The sequence below is a fragment of the Homo sapiens genome, chromosome 17, assembly GCF_000001405.40.
Source record: "Homo sapiens chromosome 17, GRCh38.p14 Primary Assembly".
NCBI classification, from domain to species: domain Eukaryota; kingdom Metazoa; phylum Chordata; class Mammalia; order Primates; family Hominidae; genus Homo; species Homo sapiens.
In genome coordinates, this window is record NC_000017.11 from 47,575,284 (window position 1) to 47,599,533 (window position 24,250).

Genomic DNA, 24,250 nt, shown 5'->3' on the forward strand with positions numbered 1-24,250 from the left:
CATACATAATGTTCTGCACCTTTCTTCTTTTCCCCTTAACTGTAAATATTGGAGGCCATTTATTATTAGTATATAAGAGATGTATCATTCTTGATAAGGTCTGTTTACAGCAGACATGCTAAATGGTGAAGCTATTTCAAATAATAACAAACAAGTTAGAGAAGGTTATGACCATTCGTATAGTATGATTTAACATAATTTTTGATATTTTTGGCCAATATAACAATTTTGAGCTAATATAACAACTGATATAAATATTAGAACAGAAAAATTATCTTGCAGGTGTGACAATATTGAATTATTATTATTATTATTATTATTATTATTATTATTATTTTTGAGATGGAGTCTTGCTCTGTCGTCCAGGCTGGAGTGCAGTGGCGCGATCTCAGCTCACTGCAAGCTCTGCCTCCTGGGTTCATGCCATTCTCCTGTCTCAGCCTCCCGAGTAGCTGGGACTACAGGTGCCTGCCACCACGCCCAGCTAATTTTGTTTTTGTATTTTTAGTAGAGATGGGGTTTCACTGTGTTAGCCAGGATGGTCTTGATCTCCTGACCTCGTGATCCGCCCACCTCGGCCTCCCAAAGTGCTGGAATTACAGGTGTGAGCCACCACGCCCCACCGACAATATTGAATTATTTAATATCTGTTTGAAATCATTGGCTTTCACATTTTCCCAAGGTTTGCTTTAAGAATGAAGTTAATCTTTTTCAAGACGGATTGCACAAGTGATCTATCTGATAATGAAGCAAATACTGAGCTTATCTTAGGAGGACATTAATAATCTTTGTGTTTAGCCTCATCAAATTTAACAGTAATGCAAGCTATTATACAGCTAAGTAAAACCTACTTTTCTGAAATTGGCACCATTCTGGGATAGTGATTAAATTACCATAATTATTGTAAGGTCTAACAACCCTAGAATTAGTGGCTGAGGGTCCTAAGGGTGGCATTTATATGGAGAAACACTGGTAGTTGTCAGCATTTTGAAGAGTCAAAAACAAGATAATAAAAAGTGGTGACACATGGCGAAACCCTGTTTCTACTAAAAACAAAAATTAGTCAGGCCTGGTGGCGCACGCCTGTAGTTCCAGCTAATCAGGAGGCTGAGGCAGGAGAATTGCTTGAACCCGGGAGCCGAAGGTTGCAGTGAGCCGAGATTGCACCACTGCACTTTAGCCTGGGTGACAGACTGAGACTCCATTTTCCAAAGAAAAAAAGAAGTGGTGACACAAAGGCAACAACCTTTATTCCCTTTTTGTATAAATTATTCTCTTTATTTTTATAGCATTTAGTAGGCTCATTAAATTTATTATTATTAAAGTATTTCAAGATTTACTCCAGGTTTTACAATTGTTATACTCTCCTAAGCTTTAAACATTTAAGGTTTTTGATGGAAGTCCCAATTTTTCAGTTGTTTACTTTATAAACGAGCTTGATATATGTTTCAAAAGGTTTACAACCCCAAACATAAATATTTCATACATTGGATATGAAATAAGGTATCTAATTTGAGGAAGTGGTGTAAATTATGTGTGTTGATAGGCATAAAATTAGACAATTTGGCAATCCGTTCATTAATATGGTGTAAATTTGATAAATGAAATTTATTAAAAAGTCATTTTTTCTCCTACTTGCCCTAAAATTCTACTATATGAATAGTAAGTAAATACTTTGTAATTGGTATCATATAATGTGACACTAATTAAACTTATTAATGATTTTTAAATACTTTAACTTGTGTTTTGTTTGAATTTCAGGTAATAACTCTTTCCAATACTTTGTATTTTGTTTAGTATGCCACTTTTTGGAAGTGGTCACTGTCAATATCTTGTTATGGTTTGATGGCCTTGGAGATTTAAAACCGAGTAAAAGTGTAAGCAGTCTTTCTTATTTAGTTATGAGTTTTAAAACCACTTTTGTTCCAACTAGGAAAAAATGCAAGTAGATTTACCATGAAATATGAATTATATTTAAAAAACATCTTAACAGTTGATTGACTTAGTGAAACAGACTGGGCAATTCCACTTATGGAATTGTAACATAAAATTCCATCATATAGTTTCCATTAAAGGTAGTAGGTTTTTATAATCTGTTAGACGTTCTTTGCAAACTTTATTAATGTGAATACATTTGCTTTTTTAAAAAAATTAAGTGAATTTCTAAAGAAAATAGAAATTAAAAATTTTTAATTTAAATTTTGCTTTATAGTTTAATTTTTTAGTATCATTTAGAATTATCAGTTATTTTACTATATTCATATATACTGTCCCAGTAACCTGTCATTCTCTTTAAAGAAAAAAGTATTCATTGTCCTCTTTAGATATTTACAAACATCTGATTTTTAAAAATAAACATCACAAATGTCTTCAATTAAGCTTCAGTTGAGTTGGTTTTTTCTCAGAATGATTAAGAATATAGCACTTTCATTAGTGGTGACTTTGCTCTAAAGGTCTGAAATTTTCACTTAAATTACTTTTAGAACCAGTTTGAGGCATCAGGCTAGAGACAGTTTGTAGTTTGTCATTCACTTATTCTGTAGACTCGCACTCCCCATAACTTTTGGTCCTTTCCAAAAGCAAATTCAATTTTATAAGATGAAGATTTGACTTTGAGATCATTCAAAAGAATGTCAGAGGGGCCAGGCACAGTGGCTCATGCCTGTAATCCCAGCACTTAGGGAGGCCAAGGTGGGTGGATCACTTGAGGCCAGGAGTTTAAGACCAGCTGGCCAACATGGCAAACCCCTGTCTCTACTAAAAATGCAAAAATTAGCCAGGCGTGGTGATGCCCGCCTGTAGTCCCAGCTACTCAGGAGGCTGAGGCACAATTGCTTGAACCCAGGAGGCGGAGGCTGCAGTGAGCCGAGATCACACCACTGTACTCCAGCCTGGGCAACAGAGTAAGCCTCTGTCTCAAAAAAAAAAAAAAAAGAGAGAAAGTCACAACATTTTGAACAATGTCAAATGTCATTGCTCTTTAGCATTCCAAAATGACAATTTGAAACATTAGTATATAAAAGTTTGGTATGATTGGTTAATTACTTTATAGTCATGCCCTATCTTTGATTTGTTAGACTTCCCATGCTTTAAATCTTGATATAAGTAGGGCCTTTAAAATGGTCAACTAAAAAGTCACCATTCCTCTACGTTTTTTCGTGACTTGATTTGTAAAACACAGAATGGGATTACTGTTTTGCCATGCATCTGTATTTAGCAGATGATTACTAGATAATAATTATAATTTTTTATGTTATAAAAAAGAAAGTATATGAACTCAAAAAAGCTCACTTTTTTGTCTAAATTGTTTTTGCTCTTATACAACAATAGAATACATATTTAAGTTGTATTTTTATTTGCATTTAATAATTTATTAATTAAATGTATTTCTTTGTCAGATTTCAAATGATTGAGGTGACTTGTAAGAATTTGTTTTATGCCCTGTTGCTGATCAAATCATTGGTCTTCCCTATAGCTCCTTACAAAATTATGCAATCAGTGTTCCATTTGGAGTAAACATTTAGTGTCTTATCTTGATAGAGTAATTGGCTACATTTCTCTTTCTATGCATGAAGTTGTGTAAAAGGACCAATTCACATGTATAATTGGCAGACAGCATGAATTCTGGACTTAAACATTTTATCCCATTCTCACTACTTACTAATTGTATGACACTGGACAAGTTATTTAGCTTCTCAGCCTCAGTTTCCTCATCTGAAAAAATGAGGACAATATCTACTTCCAGGTTTATAAATAGTTATATATATTTTAAAAGCACTATGCACAATAGCACATATCAGGCATTTAAGAATAAATGTTTGTTTCCTTTCCTGTTCTTATTTTCACATATTGGTAGTTTGAGACTAAGTTAATAACTTTTTAGGCAGTCACCCTAAACATGACTTTCAAGAGTTATTTTAGGATTAGTCTGCCTTTTACTTTAGTAAGTACTGTATTCTCTCCATTGCCAGGAGGAATATTTGAAAAAGGAAGGAATGATTTGAACATTGTAAATAGCTAACTGAATATAGTGTCTTGAGGACATATTTTTGGTAACTGTGTTTAACATCTCCATAAAAGTGTTTTTTATTTATCTTCAATCACAGGTACGGGAACCTTAAAGATAGATTTTGTTGGAGAGCTGAATGACAAAATGAAAGGTTTCTATAGAAGTAAATATACTACCCCTTCTGGAGAGGTGCGCTATGCTGCTGTAACACAGTTTGAGGTATGGGTTATTCTTCTCTAAAATATTATTATTCTTAAATTAGGCATTCTGACAAAGCTGTGTTTTATTATGTGGGGTGATTATTTGAGGCTAGGTGCCCTTGGCCATGATTGTATTCACAATTTTAGAATTTTTATTTTATATTTAGCCATTATCTCTATAGAAAGGAGGGAATTAAGGGTATGGGTTGGGGAATGATTATATACAGTTATACACACAGACGCTCAAACACACGACACATTTTGATACCTGAATTGCCTATATACTGTGTACCTTTCTTAAAATCATTCTCTTAGTATTTGACACCTATGGCTTTTCCTACAGTATTATTAGCTGTTTTCTGGAATTCCTTTCCTTCTTTGACATCTTTTGTTTATCTTACTGTAGTATCTGTGCTGTCTTTGATTTTTTTTTTCTCCGTGTGTGTGTGTGTGTGTGTGTGTGTGTGTGTGTATACACATATATATACACACACATATATATATTTGCTGTCCTATGTAGGCCAGGATGATTTTTATTTGTCAAGTATTTGCAAATTATATAAATTGTTTTGAATCTGCTAGTCGTATTTTTAAGTGTTAAATCTAAATTTATTTCTGTAAATTTCAATATGGATAAAGAAACAATTCATGATATCCGTTCTTATGTTTCTGCCCATATCCCTATATTGTTTGCTTGTTTGGGATAACCTAAAATTTTTTATCCAGTTTACTACTAATTTGTTTTACCTGATGTATCTTCTCTTTCAATAATTTTATGTTACTTTCTGTTTAGAATAATATTTGCCACAGATATTTAGGTTTAATTCTGTGTTTGAATGATTCTAATGCCTTTCTCTACCCACTTTGAACACTTCATCCTGGAATGGTTGGCTGATGTATGTCTCTAAACAATTTTTTTTTAGGAGAAGGTATGTGGGTAATGTAATTCCTGAGCCTTTGCTTTTCTGAAAAGTCTTTCATTTGCCTTTATACATGACCAGATTTACTGGGTATATAGATTTGTTGATGAAAAAAGGTAAAAAGAGCAACTTTTGACATCCAGAGGTTGTCTGGCACTCACAGCTAGCCCATGTTATTCTCCCTATTAGACATAATATTACAGAATACCAACTTTAGACAAGGCTACTTGAGACCATAATAAAGTGAGACAAAACAAGGGATCCATAATTTTGCCTAGGTACAGTACATACAGGATCACTATGCTACCCGCAAAATATCAAACATCTCCATCTCTCAGTTAAAATGAGTGACTACTGCTTCTTTACCAATTACGGTTTTAGATTTGCTCTAGTCTGGCCTCCGTATAGATAAGATTTATTGAGATACATACCCATAGAATTGCCTCATAGGACTTCTTGCAGCACTCAATCTAGAGTGAATCCCTGTTTACTTAGACCCTCTTCCAAATCATGTAAACCAAATCCCAAATCGTATAGTGGGTTCTTTCTTACATTCTTATGGAGACACCAGTGGTTCCCTATGGTGTGAGTTCTCTCTTGCCATGAGTAATAGGCCCAGCTCATTCAACTGTAAGAGTAGTACAATCAGCTTACAATTTTTCACTTTCAAAAGTCTGTGAATATTGTTTCCAAAGTCTTCTACATCTCACTTTTTCAAGAGGAGGGGTCACAGACTAAAATGTTTCTTCTTCCTTTGTAGGTAAGATGTTGTTTCGTTTTGCTTTATTTTCTTCCTGCTTGCTTGTTAAATTATATCTTGATATCGAAAATTAAACTGTTTTTTAAACCAGGTGTTCACTTTTCATTGATTTTTGCTTAGTACTTGGTGAACCCTATTGATTTTTAGATTCCGATAATTTTTCAGTGTGAAAGAGTTTTTCTGTTATATCTTCACTGTGATATCCATTCCATTCCCTTCTCAGTTAATACCCAGTTTAGCTCTAGTATCTGTCTCTCAAATTATGTTTAATTGCTTTTATCACTTTGTCCTTTAGATATTTTCAAACTTAAATCTTGTTATCTATGTCATTAATTTCCTTTAGTATAAATTCATTTCTCTGCTGCTGCTTCTAATTTAAATGCTTCTGTGCTGCCATTTCTTTCCTTATACTCTCCCTTCTTTTCAGATGTCTTTTTTATTCATTGATAGAATTCATTATTTATTTAATGTTTTTGAGAATATAGTCAGCCAAGTTTCTTCTACCTCTTTGGTTTGTTTGTTTGTTTGTTTGTTTGTTTTTTAGTCGGAGCCTTGCTCTGTCGCCCAGGCTGGAGTGCAGTGGTGCAATCTTGGCTCACTGCAACCTCCGCCTCCCAGGTTCGAGCCATTCTCCTGCCTCAGCCTCCCGAGTAGCTGGGATTACAGGCATGTGTCACCATGCCTGGTTTATTTTTGTATTTTTAGTAGAGACGGGGTTTCACCATGTTGACCAGGCTGGTCTCTAACTCCTGACCTCAGGTGATCGCCCACCTCGGCCTCCCAAAGTGCTGGAATTACAAGCATGAGCCACTGCACCCAGCCTGTTGTTTCTTTTTATAATACAGAATCTTGTCATTGGTTCCATTTTATTTACTAAATAAATGGAAAATTCTGTTTACTAAAGTTTCTTTCCTTTATAACTGATACCCTGCAGAACCCCTAAGTTTTATTTTGCTTTCATAAGTTTGCTCTTTTTTAAATTTTTAATGAAAGAGTAAGGACTCAAGTAGGTCAAGTGGCGACAGTTTTATGTGTAGCATATGGAAGTGCCATTAAATGAATGACCTGTCTTGAATTGATAGAGCATCTGTCTTTATTCCCATTGCTGCCATTCCAGATAAAGAACAAAGCACGTCAAAGATTGAGAATATTTTTATTTTTAATTCAAAAATAAAAGCCAGAGAGGCAACTTACCATGTTTTCCCAACTTTGAATTCTTATAGCATACTCTTTACTGTTCTGTGCTGTGTTGTGTTAACATTATTGATTTGAAGGCATTTGCATTAAATTTGAAATGTTAAAATGTAAACAAAAATTTAGTTGTAAATAATTATAATATATTGTTAAAATCCATAGCAGACACTGTTCCTGGATATTTGCTGGAATGGCAGTGGTAGCAAGTGTTGTCTTTTCTTTCTAGTTAATGCCTGGCTTGTTGCCTGGCACTGAAGAGAAAGTAAATATTTGAACAAGGGAATGAATGAATGACAGAGGGAAATGGTGACTGCTTTATGAAATAACTTGTTAGGTTAATTCTAAGGTATTTATATTTCATATTCTTTTCTTAAGGCTACTGATGCCCGAAGGGCTTTTCCTTGCTGGGATGAGCCTGCTATCAAAGCAACTTTTGATATCTCATTGGTTGTTCCTAAAGACAGAGTAGCTTTATCAAACATGGTATGTATGTGTTTATAAGTTTATCTAAAATTTTAATAGGCTTTAGCAGATTTAGTTTGCTGATTAGATGGGATAATATGAAACCACCTACCACAGTGCTGGTATATTATAGGAACATAAATATTAGTTTTCTTTATTTTCAATAAGCCTCTTTTTCTTTCTTTTTTTTTTTTTTTTCTGTAGAGTTGGGGTCTCATTATGTTGCCCAGGCTGGTCTCAAACTCCTGGGGTCAATCTGTCTTCCTGCCTCAGCTTCCCAAAGTGCTGGGATTACAGGCATGAGCCACCATGCCCAGCCAAGACCTCTTTTTCTTGATAGCTTTATTTTTGGAGGATTTTCTCTTTGTCAAATTCCTCGTTAAATACATTTATAAGATTATCTACTTCTTTTAATTTAGAGAGGTAAATTGACAAGTTTAATAGATTTATAGTAACTAAAAGCAAAAGGTCTTGGGCTGGATATGGTGGCTTACACCTGTCATCCCAGCACTTTGGGAAGTCAAGGTAGGCAGATCGCTTGAGGTCAGGAGTTGAAGACCAGCCTGGCCAACATGGTGAAAACCTGTCCTTACTAAAAATACAAAAATTATCTGAGTGTGGTTGCACACACCTGTAGTCCCAGCTAGTTGGGAGGCCGAGGTGGGAGGATCACTTGAACCCAGGAAGCGGAGTTTGTAGTGAGCTGAGATCACACCACTGCACTCCAGCCTGGGTGACAGAGCCAGACCCTATCTCAGAAAAAAAAAAAAGAAAAAGGTCTTGACTTATTAAATGTCATAAGAAAGCCAGGTACAGTGACTCTTGCTTGTAATCTCAGTGCTTTGGGAGGCTAAGGCAGGAGGATTGCTTGAGGCCAGGAGTTTGACACCAGTCTGGGCAACATAGTGAGACCTCATTTCTACAAAAGATTTAAAACTTAAAAGTTAGCCAGGTATGGTGGCACGTGTCTGTAATCCTAACTACTTGGGAGGCTAATGTGGGAGGATCTCTCGAACTTAGGAGTTTGAGGCTACAGGGAGCCGTGATTGTGCCACTGTATTCCAGCCTGGGTGACAGAACAAGACCCCATCTCTTAAAAAAAAAAAAATAGGCCAGGCATGGTGGCTCATGCCTGTAATCCCAGCACTTCAGGAGGCTGAGGCAGGTGGATCATTTGAGGCCAGGAGTTCGAGACCAGCCTGGCCAACATGGTGAAACCCCATCTCTACTAAAAATACAAAAATTAGCCAGATATGGTGGCAGGCACCTGTAACCCCAGCTACTTGGGAGGCTGAGGCAGGAGAATTGCTTGAACCTGGGAGGTGGAGGCTGCAGTGAGTTGAGATCGCGCCACTCCACTCCAGCCTGGGTGACAGAGCAAGACTCCATCTCGGGGGAAAAAAAAAAAAAAGGTTGCAACAGAGCAAGACCCTGTCTCTTATGTTTTTAAAAAGTTAAAAAAATTCAAAAGATGTAGCTGCGTAATGAAGTATATTTAGGTCTCTGGCTGTTTGTATTCTTGGAATGTATTCTCTTCACCAGTGTTATTGATCTCATTCATGAACAGGGTAAGCATTCCCCACTTGAAGTGTGTTGTCTAGGACTGTCTTGTGTGGGGAACTTGGAAAAACCTGCTGCACCTGAAAATAACTCTTTTATGTATTTATTGGGGGAGAGCATCCCATAAATAGAATGTCATTCTCTTCTCACATATTCTTAGAAGAGGAGGCTAATATATTAAACGGAAATATTCATTCACACTTTAGTATGAGTGAATTTATCAGTGTGTTCTTGAATAAGTCTTCCTTGGAAGGAAGAATAGAGAGAGCTTGAGGAAACAGAGCCTGAATAGGAAAAAGAGGGAGAACACCAAAGGAAATTAGGGACTCCAAAGGTAAAGTTGAAATTTCTTCACAAATAAGCTTAGAGCCAACTTTGGTAGAGAATGCCCTCGATCTAGAAGTTTGTATCCTTTGAAATGGGAGATTCTACAATTATATTATATTTATTTATTTTTGAGAAGGAGTCTCGCTGTGTCGCCCAGGCTGGAGTGCAGTGGTGTGATCCCAGCTCACTGCAAGCTCCGCCTCCCTAGTTCACGACATTCTCCTGCCTCAGCCTCCCAAGTAGCTGGGATTACAGGCACCCCCCACCATGCCTGGCTAATGTTTTGTATTTTTAGTAGAGATGGGGTTTCACCATGTTAGCCAGGATGGTCTTGATCTCCTGACCTTGTGATTCGCCTGCCTAAGCCTCCCAAAGTGCTGGTATTACAGGCGTGAGCCACCGCGCCTAGCCCCTATTTTATTTTTATTAATAGTCATTTTCTCCTAAACTTATGTCAGTTGAAAAGTATGAAGCCCTTAACTTAAATCATCCCAATGCCTGGCTTATAATAAGTATTTGAGAAAAGTCCATTCCTCTTTTCTTTCACAGGTCCTTGGTAGTTTTAACACTTCAGCCTCCAGCTTCTTAGTATGAGTGTTTTATCAGACCACTTTCCTTCTTAAAGACAGCATAAAAGCACTGGATGAATTGGGGTAGAGAAATAAGCCATGCTAGAATAGAAAGGGGTAAAGAGATGCAATAAAGCCTACAGTTTTTGGCTGGTATTTGCTCTATGGTATTAATGTAAACCTATTTAAATTTTTCTTTTTTTTATTTCTTAAAGAATGTAATTGACCGGAAACCATACCCTGATGATGAAAATTTAGTGGAAGTGAAGTTTGCCCGCACACCTGTTATGTCTACATATCTGGTGGCATTTGTTGTGGGTGAATATGACTTTGTAGAAACAAGGTCAAAAGATGGTGTGTGTGTCCGTGTTTACACTCCTGTTGGCAAAGCAGAGCAAGGAAAATTTGCGTTAGAGGTAAATGTACTTGAAGAGGATTGTTCCAACAGTCCATAACTCCAGGTTGGGGAATTTACATTTCTGGTCAATTATTAGTACAGTTATTTATAATTTAATCTGAAAGTTGTGCTACTTGGTTTATTTTTAGTAGAATTTAGGAAATGCCAACCTTGGTGTTTCATTATTTTACAAAATAATAATTAAGAGAATATAAGAGTGGAATTTCTCTAGGGAATGGGTTGGAAAATATGTAGTTATATTTTTCATATCAAGTTATAAATGGATTAAAGTTTGGCCATTGTATTCAAAGTTTGGAGCTAAGGCAGTCTTCGGAGGGTAGGGCTCCTCGGGATTCATTTCTAGTAATTTAAGATACATTGGCTTGCAACAGGATTCCTTTGTGGGTTTCAATATGAATTATAATAACATATTTATTAGATGGTTATTTTGTTTATACTTTTATAGGTTGCTGCTAAAACCTTGCCTTTTTATAAGGACTACTTCAATGTTCCTTATCCTCTACCTAAAATTGATCTCATTGCTATTGCAGACTTTGCAGCTGGTAAAGTAAATTTCATTTTATTGCTGAATTGTAATAACTTTTTAAAATTTTGTGACTTTTGATGCAAGAGTATATATATATATATATATATCAATAAATGTTTATATTTATTTTGTGAAGGTGCCATGGAGAACTGGGGCCTTGTTACTTATAGGTATGTTAATGATGTGTTACCCTGCCTTATCTTTTCAAATCACTGATTTCAAAAGGGCTTCCCTCCTAATCACAGTTGAGTAGCTTCTGCTTTACGATATGGTGTAAATTTTTCTACCTTCCCCCACTTCCGTGCACATTTCAAGAATGCAGATGGACACCCCTCCCTTTGGTGCTACTGTCTGAGGGTGTAAGATTTTAAAGTGAGCATCTGGCGGTAGTAGCATTTTTAGATATATTCTTGGCTAAGTTTCTCATTGCAGTAGTTTCATAGCTATTTATCCAGCTTGGAGAACCTTCCCTAATTTCATATCTTCTAGCCAAGTTTTTACATGTCTGTCACCACAACATAAACATGTGAGTTGAATAACTTTTAAAAGCAGAGTCTGTCTGTAAACAAGTTTTTGCCTTCTACTTTCAATTGCCTTTTTAGATGAGCTAAGTGTTGGACAGCCGGCTCAGTGCTGTTTTTGGGACTATGGAATGCATCTTCCTCCACCACTCCCCTCATTTAATGGAAGGACTTTCTTCTCTCTCCATCTAGCACAGTAATCGCTAATCCCTTAGACAATGTTTTCCCAAAATTTCAGGCAGCTATTCTATCAACAAACTGATAATTAAACTTGTGTCACATCTTTGATATTCTGTTGTATTAATTCTGTTGGGGTAGTCTTTAATCTTCGTGAAACTTTTTCTTTCCATATTAGGAAATATTTTCCTAATATCTCTAAAGCCTAACTTGTCCATCTGACTTACTGTCTGAATCTTCCCAACTTATGCATGCCCACTTTTATTGTTTAAATTTGTTTCTTTTTTTTTTTTTTAAACACAGGGAGACTGCATTGCTTATTGATCCAAAAAATTCCTGTTCTTCATCCCGCCAGTGGGTTGCTCTGGTTGTGGGACATGAACTCGCCCATCAATGGTTTGGAAATCTTGTTACTATGGTATTTAATATTTTTAAGTGCTCAAATATATTTATCTTCATCCTACTCCACATTATTTTGGCTACATAGTATTTCAAGTTTGGCTGCAACACTGTGCCAAAAAATAATTGAGTGATAGAAAAGTATTATTTTAAAAGGTCCACTTTGAAAAGGCTTATCAGAATCTCTGCATTGAACAAGGGCATATGGACAGTCTTTATTCAACAGACACTTCCTAAACTGTTCTAAAATTTGTCTGCAAGTGGGAAAAGTCAAGATACTAATTTGGGTGAGAGAAAAACATTCCTCTTAGGTGTAGATGAATGAATCATGCAGTGAGATTCCAGGCTAACTGTAGTTTCTTGAATCTTATTTGTTAATCTGATTCACAGCTGAAAAGTAACCTGATGAATAACAAACTGATCTTTAATTAGAGAGAAATGTTTTTAGGAGTCAGTTTTTTCATTGCCTAAAATGTTAAGTTGAAATTTAATGAAATAAAAGTAAACAAACTGCAGAGTGACTGCAGAATAAAGCTGTATTAAAATTCCAGCTGTTCTGTTGAAATCCTTATAATGTTTGCAGTAATGATCTCTGTCCTTCAGTCCTGATTTTTCACTCTTACTCTAAGTAAATACTATTTATGAATGCCAACTGTGTTAGAGCTTGGGAGCACAGGATTTAATAAGTGAACTAGATGTACCTCTGCAATTAAATAACTGGATATTCTGGAGCCAGCTAGATTCCCTGACATTTTAGGCTGCCAAAGAGCAGAACCTGATTTGAATGTAGATTGAGTCCATACGTCATATAAATAAGAATGTAAGACATTTATCAACTATTACGTGTCTCAGAGAGTTTCTACAGAAAGTCAACCCTTGAAAATAAATCTTTTCCTTTTATTTTGGATGTTTAAAATTTTACAGGTGAAAAAAATTCTTTGAAATATAATTTCAGGCCGGGCACGGTGGCTCACGCCGGTAATCCCAGCACTTTGGGAGGCTGAGGCAGGTGGATCACTTGAGGTCACGTGTTTGAGACCACCCTGACCAATGTTGCGAAACCCCATCTCCACTAAAAAAAATAGAAAATTAGCTGGGCGTGGTGGTGTGCGCCTGTAATCCTAGCTACTCTGGAGGTTGAGGCAGAAGAATCACTTGAACCTGGGAGGCAGAGGTTGCAGTGAGCCGAGATCACGCCACTGCACTCCAGCCTGGGCAACAAGAGCGAAACTCCATCTCAAAAAAAAAAAAAGAAATATAATTTCATGTGGAATTATGTGTTGGTGCCTGTATTCAAATATGTGAAGAAATGGCCTTTTCTTCTAATGCAGCAAGTTTGCTACTTTGTACCAAATAATTTTTTTGCTTGGTTTTGAGATAACTTTATGATTTTATTTTGAAACAAGCAATAAATTTTAGTAGGGGAAATGTGTACATTCTTATTAAACAACTTTTTACTGGTTTTATGTAACTATTCTAGTTATTAGAACTGAAATTCCAAGGGCTTAGGGATAGGTTGGAAAATAAGTTTCATTTTATGCTAGTTTATTTTAGGAAGCTACTAGGCAAATAGCCACTTATCACTTAATATCAAAATAATTTTTTTTTTAAGACAGAGTCTCACTCTGTCACTTAAACTGGAGTGCAATGGCACAATCATGGTTCATTACAGTCTTTACCTCTGGGCTCAAGCAATCCTCCTGTCTCTGCCTCCTGAGTAGCTGCAATTACAGGTGTGTGGCACCATGCCCAGCTAATTTTTGCACTTTTTGTAGAGACAAGGTTTCACTGTATTGCCTTTTGTAGAGACAGGGTTTCACTTTGTTGCCTAAACTGGTCTCAAACTCCTGGGCTCAAGCAATCCTCCCACCTCAGCCTCCCAAAGTGCTGGGATTACAGGCATGAGCTACCACACCTGGCCTTTTCTGGGGGGACTGGTTGGGGATGGAGAATGGGATCTCACTTTGTCACCCAAGCCGGAGTGCAGTGGCACAATCATGGGTCAGTGCAGCTTCATCTTCCTGGGCTTATGTAATCCTCTTGCCTCAGCCTCCCAAGTAGCTGGGACCACAGGTGTGTGTCACCATGACCAGCTAATTTTTTTTTACTTTTTAATTTTTTTAGAGATGGAGTCTCACTATGTTGCCCAGGCTTATCTCAAACTCCTGGGCTCAAGTGATCTTCCTGCCTTGACCTCCCAGAGTATTGGCATTACAGGAGCAAGCCATTGTGCCTGGCCTGCTTTCTTTTACTAATAGGCTTAATCAACTTTAATAAAATTTAGATTAAGATCTTTCAAATTTTTTTAAAATTGATTTTATCTGTCACTCATATTCTTTGTCCATTCCATTTACTATGCATTCTTATTTAACAGGTGATAATTTTATATTCCATAAGTGCTTAAACACCATTCATTACTGAACTGCATTTTTGTTTAATTTCACATAATTTTTATATAAGCAGTACTCTTTCTCAGTTTCTCTTGAACATTCAACTCATTAGTGAGTGGTTTTCCCCTGTCATTTCCATTTTTCTTTATTTGGCTCTGATAGTTTTCTGTTTTTGTTTTTCAGAGATAATCCTTTACTATACTAAATTCTACATGATTATATTTTCCACCTCTATTTGCCTATATTTATCTGTTGTCTTTTCCTTTTCCATATATGGGCTTTTTTTTTCCCTCTTCTTCCTTTTCTACCTTTGGTATTTAAAAAGTTACTTAGGACTGAATGCACTGGCTTACGCGTGTAATCCCAGCACTTTGGCAGGCTGAGGCGGGAGGATTGCTTGAGCCCAGGAGTTCAAGGCTGCAGTAAGCTACGATGGTGCCCCTGCCACTCCAGCCTGGGCAACAGAATGAGACCCTGTCTGGGTTTGCGGGAGAAGTTATTTACAATGTTTTGAAAATATCCTTTAGCCCAGGCATGGTGGCTCACACCTGTAATCTTAGCACTTTGGGAGGCCGAGGCAGGTGGATCACTTGAGTTCAGAAGTTCCAGACCAGCCTGGCCAACATGGCAAAACCCCCTCTCTACTAAAAATACAAAAATTAGGCAGGCATAGTGATACATGTCTGTAATCCCAGCTACTGGTGAACACTCCAGCCTGGTGACAAAACAAGACTTTGTCTCAAAAAAAAAAAAAAGAAAAGAAAGGAAAAGAAAATGACCCTCAGATATAATTCTCATATCACCAGTTGGCCTTTCTTGACATCTCTTTTAGTCTTCTCTCTTTTTCAGAAATGTGAGTTCTTTGCCAAATGTTTTGAACTGAATTTTAGGTCATTAAATTGTGAGTTTGGGAATATAGTGGAAGGGACATGTGAGTGTTTTAGATTAGTAGAATGACAATCATTTCATTTTCTTTAAGTATTTTCATCTTTTGTTTTTAGGAATGGTGGACTCATCTTTGGTTAAATGAAGGTTTTGCATCCTGGATTGAATATCTGTGTGTAGACCACTGCTTCCCAGAGTATGATATTTGGACTCAGTTTGTTTCTGCTGATTACACCCGTGCCCAGGAGCTTGACGCCTTAGATAACAGCCATCCTATTGAAGTGAGCCATACTTTCTAACCATTAGCCTATGACTGCTCTCATTTACAATGAAATACGTAATTTGTTACATAGATACTTTGGACTTTGAAAATAAGAGAAAATAGCATGGGTGATTTTACTGGTTCATATTTCTAGTCTTGAAAAGCTAGTAAGTCTAAGTTCTAATTAACATTTCTTTTTAAGGTAGGCAGTAAAAAAAAATTGGTCTGGCCAGGCGCAGTGGCTTATGCCTGTAATCCTAGCATTTTGGGAGGCTGAGGCAGGTGGATCACCTGAGGTCGGGAGTTTGAGACCAGCCTGACCAATATGGAGAAACCCCGTCTTTACTAAAAATACAAAATTAGCTGGGCACGGTGGCGCATGCCTGTAATCCCAGCTACTCGGGAGGCTGAGGCAGGAGAATCACTTGAACCTGGGAGGCAGAGGTTGCGGTGAGCCGAGATCGTGCCATTGCACTCCAGCCTGGGCAACAAGAGCAAAAAACTCTGCCAAAAAAAAAGAAAAAGAATAGTATGGGAGAAGTCATACCTATTGGGTAACACTATGGTTCCATTGTTTATGTCAAGGAAAATTCTGGACATATTTTATTGTCAGGGTCTGTTTTGTGAATACTTTAATTCTCTTGACTTAGCCTATCCCTACTTCAGTTTATATATATAAATTTTGTATCTAAAGAACTAGAGTTATAATGCTACTTCAACATATTTAATTAGGCTCCCATATAATTGTAATTCATTACAATTAGTGCAAGAAATCTAATGTTCTTCACCTCCATATCTTCCTCATCACTCCTCTGCAACTACCCCAAAAATAAACAGAACCATAGTGGCTTCTTTCCCAGCAGAACAAAGCCAGGACTGGAACCCAGGCTCTAAGGGATGACAGGAATCATGTTCTATTCAACTTTATTATTATTAGTTACTACATTTTTTTGAGGACCATCGTTATACATTATGAGTGAGTTAAAGGCAGAAAAATGTAAGTTAGAAGGGTTTTCCTAGAAAGCGTTTTATGTAATTCAGTATTACAGGCTATCTGCTTCCTGTCATAACCCTGAATCACACTGTCTGCCAGGTCAGTGTGGGCCATCCATCTGAGGTTGATGAGATATTTGATGCTATATCATATAGCAAAGGTGCATCTGTCATCCGAATGCTGCATGACTACATTGGGGATAAGGTAAAAAAAAACTTTAAATATTTCATTCTTTTATGGTGAAATCATAAGAGTTTTGCATGAAAAAAAGTCTCACTTTATTTGGATTAAGTTCCCAAATAGTTTCTGGCTTGTCATTTTTTTTTAATGACCAAAAAGAATGAGAATTCAATTATTTGAAGTTGACTACTCTGGTCTCTTAGATGAGTGATGTGCAGGTGTGTTTGGGAGTGGAAATGGGAGGCTGTTACAAAACTTAAGAGCAAGAATAGAAGGCATAGAGTACGCATTATTAAATAAAAGGCAGTAGGCATCAGAAGGATATATGTGTTTCAGTGTATCTGATACTTGAGTATTTGAGTAAATTTGTTTTTGATTACTGATATACAAATATACTATAAATTCTGAGATCTGACTTCCCTGGATTTTAAAAATTGTGTTTTCTCAGGACTTTAAGAAAGGAATGAACATGTATTTAACCAAGTTCCAACAAAAGAATGCTGCCACAGGTAATCTCTAATAGCTTGAGATAGAAATGGAGAGAAAGTATTGTCACTCTATCCAGGCTGGGACATTTTATTTTTGTTCTGAATACTTAAGGTCAGGATCCATGTAATAAATAAATTAGCCTTATTTGAAGCTGTGTTCAGGTTGAATATCTCTAATCTCAAAATCTGAAATTTGAAATGCTCCAGAATCTGAAACTTTTTCTTTCCTTTCTTTCTTTTTTTTAATTAAAGTTCTAGGGTGCATGTGCACAATGTGCAGGTTTGTTACGTCAGTATACATGTGCGGGCCATGTTGGTTTGCTGCACCCATTAACTCGTCATTTACATTAGGTATTTCTCCTAATGCTATCCCTCCCCCAGCCCCCTACCCCATGACAGGCCCTGGTGTGTGATGTTCCCCGCCCTGTGTTCAAGTGTTCTCATTGTTCAATTCCCACCCAAAATCTGAAACTTTTTGAGTGCCAACATGATGCTCAAAGGAAATGCTCATTGGAACATTTTAGATTTTGGATATTCCAATTATAGATGCTCAGCTAGTAAGTATAATGCAAATATTCCAAAATCCAAAAGAAATATGAAATTCAAAACATTTCTGGTCCCAAGCATTTTGGATAAGGGATACTCAACCTGCAGTAAGTCATAGGGTCAACATGAATCAGGACTCGTTATCCCTTTGGTCATCCTCCAGCATTCTGCTTTCCATAACTGAGTATTTTGCCAACTTAAAGAGTCTGGGCCGGGTGTGGTGGCTCACGCCTGTAATCCTAGCACTTTGGGAGGCCAGGATGTGCGGACTGATTGAGCCCAGTTCAAGACCAGCTTGCAACATAGCGAGACCCCACCTCTACAAAAAATACAAAAATATTAGCCGGGTGTGGTGGTATGTGCCTGTAGTCCCAGCTACTCAGGAGGCTGAAGTGGGAAGGGTCACTTGAGCCCAGGAGTTTGAGGTTACAGTGAGCAATCATGGCACCACTGCACTCCAGCCTGGGCAACAGAACAAGATCCTGTCTGAAAAAAATAAAAAATAAAGGGAATACAGTCATGTGTTGCTTAACAACAGGGATATGTTCTGAGAAATATGTTGTCAGGCAATTTCATCAATATGTGAACATCATAGAATGTACTTACAGAAACCTACACAGTATGTCCTAGGCTATGTACACCTAGCCTACATGGTATATACCCTGTTGCTGCTAGGCTACAAAATACCTGTACAGCATGTTACTGTACTGAATACCATAGGCAATTATAACACAATGGTATTTGTATACCTGAACATTTCTAAATATAGAAAAGGTACAGTAAAAATATGATATTAAAGATGCTCCACCAGCTGGCTGATATGCCTATAATCCCAGCACTTTGGGAGGCTGGGGCAGGTGGACTGCTTGAGTCCAGGAGTTTGAGACCAGCCTGGGCACCATGCCAAAACCTCGCTTCTATAAAAAGTACAAAAATTAGCTGGGTGTGGTGGCATGTGCCTGTAGTCCCAGCTACTTGGGAGGCTGAGGTAGGAGGATCACTTGAGCCTGGGAGGTCAAAGCTGCAGTGAGCTGTGATTGGGCCACTGCACTCCAGCCTGGGCAACAGCGAAACGCGGTCTCAAAAGAAAATAAGGTGCTACACCTGAATGCAGCTTATAGGACAACTTATAGAGGTTGTTCTAGTTGAGTGAGTGGTGAGTGAATATGAAGGCCTAAGACATTACTATACACTACTATAGATATTATAAATACTTTACACTTAGGCTACACTGAATTTATAAAAATAATTTTTCTTTCTTGAATAATAAATTAACCTTAGCTTACTGTAACATTTTAAATTTACTTTTTAATTTTTTTAACTTTTTGATTCTTTTCAATTCTTTTTTTTTTTTTTTGAGACAGAGTTTCGCTCTTGTTGCCCAGGCTGGAGTGCAATGGTGCAGTCTTGGCTCACCACAACCTCCGCCTCCCGGGTTCAAGTGATTCTCCTGCCTCAGCCTCCTGAGTAGCTGGGATTACAGGCATGTGCCACCACGGCCGGCTAATTTTGTATTTTATTTTATGTTATGTTATGTTATGTTATGTTATGTTATGTTATGTTATGTTATGTTATTTTTTGAGACGGAGTCTCGCTCTGTCGCCCAGGCTGGAGTGCAGTGGCGCGATCTCGGCTCACTGCAAGCTCCACCTCCCGGGTTCAGGCCATTCTCCTGCCTCAGCCTCCCGAGTAGCTGGGACTACAGGCGCCCGCCACCACGCCCGGCTAATTTTTTGTATTTTTAGTAGAGACAGGGTTTCACTGTGTTAGCCAGGATGGTCTCGATCTCCTGACCTCATGATCCGCCCGCCTCTGCCTCCCAAAGTGCTGGGATTACAGGCGTGAGCCACCGCGCCTGGCCTATTTTATTTTTTTTAAAGACAGGGTCTTGCTCTGTCGCCCAGGCTGGAGTGCAGTGGTGCAGTCTTGGCTTCGTTGCAACCTCCGCCTCCTGGGTTCAAGTGATTCTCCTGTCTCAGCCTCCCAAGTAGCTGGGATTACAGGTGTGTGCCACCATGCCCAGCTAATTTTTGTATTTTTAGTAGAGACAGGGTTTCACCATGTTGGCCAGGCTGGTTTCGAACTCCTGACCTCAGGTGACGTGCCCACCTCGGCCTCCCAAAGTGCTGGGATTGCAGGTGTGAGCCACTGCACCCAGCCTAATTTTGTATTTTTAGTAGAGATGGGGTGTCTCCATGTTGGTCAGACTGGTCTTGAACTCCAGACCTCAGGTGATCCGCCCGCTTTGGCCTCCCAAAGTGCTGGGATTATAGGCATGAACCACTGCGTCCAGCCTGGATATTTTTAAAGTGAGGTTAATTGAATGGGTATAACGGTCTTAAGTTTGTCAGTGATTGTTTAGTAGTGATCTTGAACACATTTCAATTTCTTTGTTTCTCCTTAACTCATCTGTTTATCTTTTATTATAATTTGTAATTTTTCTTATAAATTAGAATGATTAAGTATATCTCAGAATAAAAGACCAGTTTTGGCCAGGTGTTATGACTCACACCTGTAATTCCAGCACCTTGGGAGGCTGAGGCAGGTGGATTGCTTGAGCCCGGGATTTTGAGACCAGCCTGGGCAACATGGTGAAATCCCATCTCTACAAAAAATTGCAAGAAATTATGGGCCAGGTGCGGTGGCTCATGCCTGTAATCCCAGCACTTTGGGAGGCCGAGGCAGTGGATCACCTGAGGTCAGGAGTTCAAGACCAACCTGGTCAACATGGCGAAACTCCATCTCTACTAAAAATACAAAAATTAGCTGGGTGTGGTGGCACATGCCTGTAATCCCAGCTACTCAGGCACCTGAAGCAGGAGAATTGCTTGAACCTGGGAGGCAGAAGTTGCAGTGATCTTAGATCATGGCACTGCACTCCAGCCTGGGCAACAGAGCAAGACTCCATCTCAAAAAAAAAAAAAAAAAAAAAAAAAGCCAGGTGTTGTGGTGTGCACCTGTAGTCCCAGCTACTCAGGAGGCTGAGGAGGGAAGATCACCTGAGTCTGGGAGGTCGAGGCTGCAGTGAGCTGTGATTATGCCACTGCACTCTAGCCTGGGTGATGAAGTAAGACCGTATCTCAAAAAATACCAGTTTTTATGATAGAATTTACTTAGTTGCAGAAGAGGGGTGGCAAGGGGAATGTTAATTTGGCTCACTGTTTCCTGAACCTGAAAGAACCAAAGAATTAGCAGTGTAGTGTCAAAAGTTAAATAAAATTTCTTTTTTGTTTAGGAAAATAAAAATATAAACATTTTAGATTATCATTGTTTATCTTCTAGAGGATCTCTGGGAAAGTTTAGAAAATGCTAGTGGTAAACCTATAGCAGCTGTGATGAATACCTGGACCAAACAAATGGGATTTCCCCTCATTTATGTGGAAGCTGAACAGGTAAACATATAAAGTCTTTCCATTTGTCTGATATTGTATTAAATGAAGTTCAGTACAGTGTATCAAGTTTGCTTTTCTGTACTTTAAGTTTTCTAGTGACATTTAAACCAGCCCTGTTACTCTTTTATCAGTAATTTTACAGCTTGCATCATTAAAATTATACATGCTTAAGAGAGAAAACAAAATGTTACTTGCTTGTCTAGTCTCCAGGGAAAATACTGTAAAATTTGATATAATTCTAAAACCACCAAATATGGTTTATTCTACAAATGCAAGGTTGGTTTAACATTTTTTAAAAAATTAGGCCGGGCGTGGTGGCTCACGCCTGTAATCCCAACACTCTGGGAGGCCGTGGCGGGTGGATCACTTGAGGTCGGGAGTTTGAGGCCAGCCCGGCCAATGTAGTAAAACCCTGTCTCTACTAAAAATACAGAAATTAGCTGAGCATGGTGGCACACACCTGTAATCCCAGCTACTCTGGAGACTTAGGCAGGAGAATTGCTTGAACTCGAGAGGTGGAAGTTGCAGCGAGCCGAGATTGTGCCACTGCACTCCAGCTTGGGCAACAGAGCGAGACTTCGTCTCAAAAAAAAAAAAAAATCAATGTATTGATTTATAATCACTACATAAACAGAATCAAATGCAAATAGCACATAATCACTGACTAGATGTAGAAAAAACATTTGGTAAAATTTCATACCCACTTATAATATCAATTGTGTAAAGTAGGTTTTTAATGTTGGTTGGATGGCAGTGTGATTTTAATTAGGATTGCAATTCATTAATTGAACTGTTACCTGAATTCAGAGAGGAGTACTTTGGTATGAGTTATACTTCAAAAGGACTGAGAATTACACAACATCCTTTAATGCCTACCAAAAAGTGATCTTAACTCGGTTTCATTAAATGAAATTGTTCTCTTCAGTTTATTTGCCATGGTTTTGTGAGCTGCATGGGGAATTAATTCCTGTTCATTTTTAGGGAAGTGGATTCATAGTTCTTTTTTAGTATGTGTTTTTTCTTGTGGTCCTACATTGTCCACAAAGCTAAGTATTTTTTTATTATTACTTTTATATTTTAAAAAATTGGGATGAGGTCTCACTGTATTGCCCAGCCTGGTCTGGAACCCCTGGGCTCAAGTGATCCTTCCACCCCTGCCTCCCAAAAGTGCTGGGATTACAGGTATGAGCCACTGCACACCCAGCCAAAGCCAAGTATGTTTTACAAATAATTTCTCAATGTGGCAATCTAAGTTATAAATTTGCTTTTCTGCACATTTGTATTCTAGGTGACATTTAAACCAATTCTTGCACTCTCAAAATGCTCCCAAATTTACATGGAACATTTTCACGTGTAAGCTTGCAGATTACCCTTTCAGAGCCAAATCTTAACTTTAAACATGATTGGATTTTACACTAAAGTGTGCACACTGGAGGACCTCTCAGTTAGATTGGCTGCAATAACTTGGAAAGGCAATTTAGGGAATGCAATTGATCATGTTTGGTGGGAAAGAATACCTGTAAGTTTAGTGACCTGCCACTGTGACCAGTTCTATTTCTTTGCAGTCTTTTTTCTGCACTTGGGACTAGTCTTGTTATAGGAGATGACTAATTGAATTTGATGTTGACACTGCATATAGACTGACTCTTTTAAGAATATTAACATACAAAAATTATTGTTACTTCTCATCTGAGCATTTCGTTCCCTCAAAACTACTGAACTATTGGCTGGGCCAGGCACAGTGGCTCACGCCTGTACTTAGAATACTGGGAGGCCAAGGTGGGAGGATTGCTTGAGCTCAGGAGTTCAAGACAAGCCTGGGCAACATAGTGAGACCTCGTCTCTACTAAAAGTAAAAAAAACTAGCTGGGCATGGTGGCACGTGCCTATAGTCCCAGCTACTTGGGAGGCTTAGTTGGAAGGATCGCTTGAGCACAGGAGGTGTGAAGGCTGCAGTGAGCTGTGATGGCAGCACTGCAGTCCATCCTGGGCAACAGAGCAAGACCATGTATTAAAAAACAAACAATTGGCCAGGCGCAGTGGCTCACATTTGTAATCCCAGCACTTTGGGAGGATCACTTGTGTTCTGGAGTTTGAGACCAGCCTGGGTAACACGGCAAGATGCTGCCTCTACCAAAACAAAAAAACAAACCCAAAACTATTGAAATGTTAATGATTACACATAAAACAGATTATTAAGCCGTAATTTTTTCTTAAAGCAGAACACACTTTTAAGAAATAATAGTTTATCAGTTAGAACAGAGAACAGTAATGCCACACTTCTCAGTGTTACTGAAACTGTTTCCATCCAGGGGCTTTCAAGGTCTTGCTTTCTTTGTTTTCTTTTTTGTCTACAGGCACGGCCAAACTCATCCTCCATTTTGCATTGTCATAAAAGGCCAATGGCCTGGTGCAGTGGCTCAAACTTATAATCCTAGCACTTTAGGAGGCTAAGGCAGGAGGATTGCTTGAACCTAGGAGTTTGAGATCATCCTGGGCAATATTATAGTGAGACCCTGTCTCTAAAAAAACTAAAAATAAATTAAAAATATATTAATGAAATTAAAGGCCTGTCTGTTGCTCTTAATTCTTTTAAGAATAGGAGAGCTGTGTAACATATCTTGATTATGATCTGTTTCTCACTTTACATTCCCCAAATTTAAATATTTTTGCTCTAATTCTGAATCAATGTAAAAGGTTTCAACTTTCTCAGGGAAATCTGTGTGATATATAACTGATTATATATATAATTAGTATCTAGTGTTAACGTTCATTAATAGTTTCCCTGTGGCATCAAAGTGGCCATTGCTTTCTCACTTAAATTTTTTCTTAGTTTTTCAATTCTATTTCTTGCAGTAAGTTTATCCATGAAACTCATTAGCCCAATTTTACATTTGATTTAGGTGATCTTAAGTCTGTGTTATTTGAAATCCAGGATGTGGTAACTAATAAATGACACAAATGACTGCATATTGTTGAAGTATTTTGTAAACACATGTACTTACCATTGTTGCCTCTGGCTTTTTAGTTATTTGGACTTTTCTCTTTAGTATTACCGTCTTCATCACAAT

At 38.0% G+C, this 24,250-nt stretch overlaps 1 protein-coding gene across 6 annotated transcripts in view; it reads left to right on the forward strand.

Moving 5' to 3' along the window:
- NPEPPS (aminopeptidase puromycin sensitive) overlaps nucleotides 1–24,250 on the forward strand; it is a 100,344-nt gene that overhangs the window by 52,351 nt on the left and 23,743 nt on the right. For 4 of the 6 annotated variants that reach the window (NM_001330257.2, XM_017025373.1, NM_001411130.1 and 1 more), the window contains 10 exons: nucleotides 4,107–4,228; nucleotides 7,459–7,566; nucleotides 10,217–10,417; nucleotides 10,865–10,961; nucleotides 11,082–11,115; nucleotides 11,947–12,061; nucleotides 15,434–15,598; nucleotides 16,673–16,777; nucleotides 17,202–17,262; nucleotides 21,070–21,179. In NM_001330257.2, coding sequence (NP_001317186.1) covers nucleotides 4,107–4,228; nucleotides 7,459–7,566; nucleotides 10,217–10,417; nucleotides 10,865–10,961; nucleotides 11,082–11,115; nucleotides 11,947–12,061; nucleotides 15,434–15,598; nucleotides 16,673–16,777; nucleotides 17,202–17,262; nucleotides 21,070–21,179 — 1,118 coding nt within the window. Of the gene's footprint in view, nucleotides 1–1,797; nucleotides 1,878–4,106; nucleotides 4,229–7,458; nucleotides 7,567–10,216; nucleotides 10,418–10,864; nucleotides 10,962–11,081; nucleotides 11,116–11,946; nucleotides 12,062–15,433; nucleotides 15,599–16,620; nucleotides 16,778–17,201; nucleotides 17,263–21,069; nucleotides 21,180–24,250 lie in introns of those variants that run through there. The other 2 variants (XM_047437107.1, XM_047437108.1) reach the window with 2 other exon arrangements.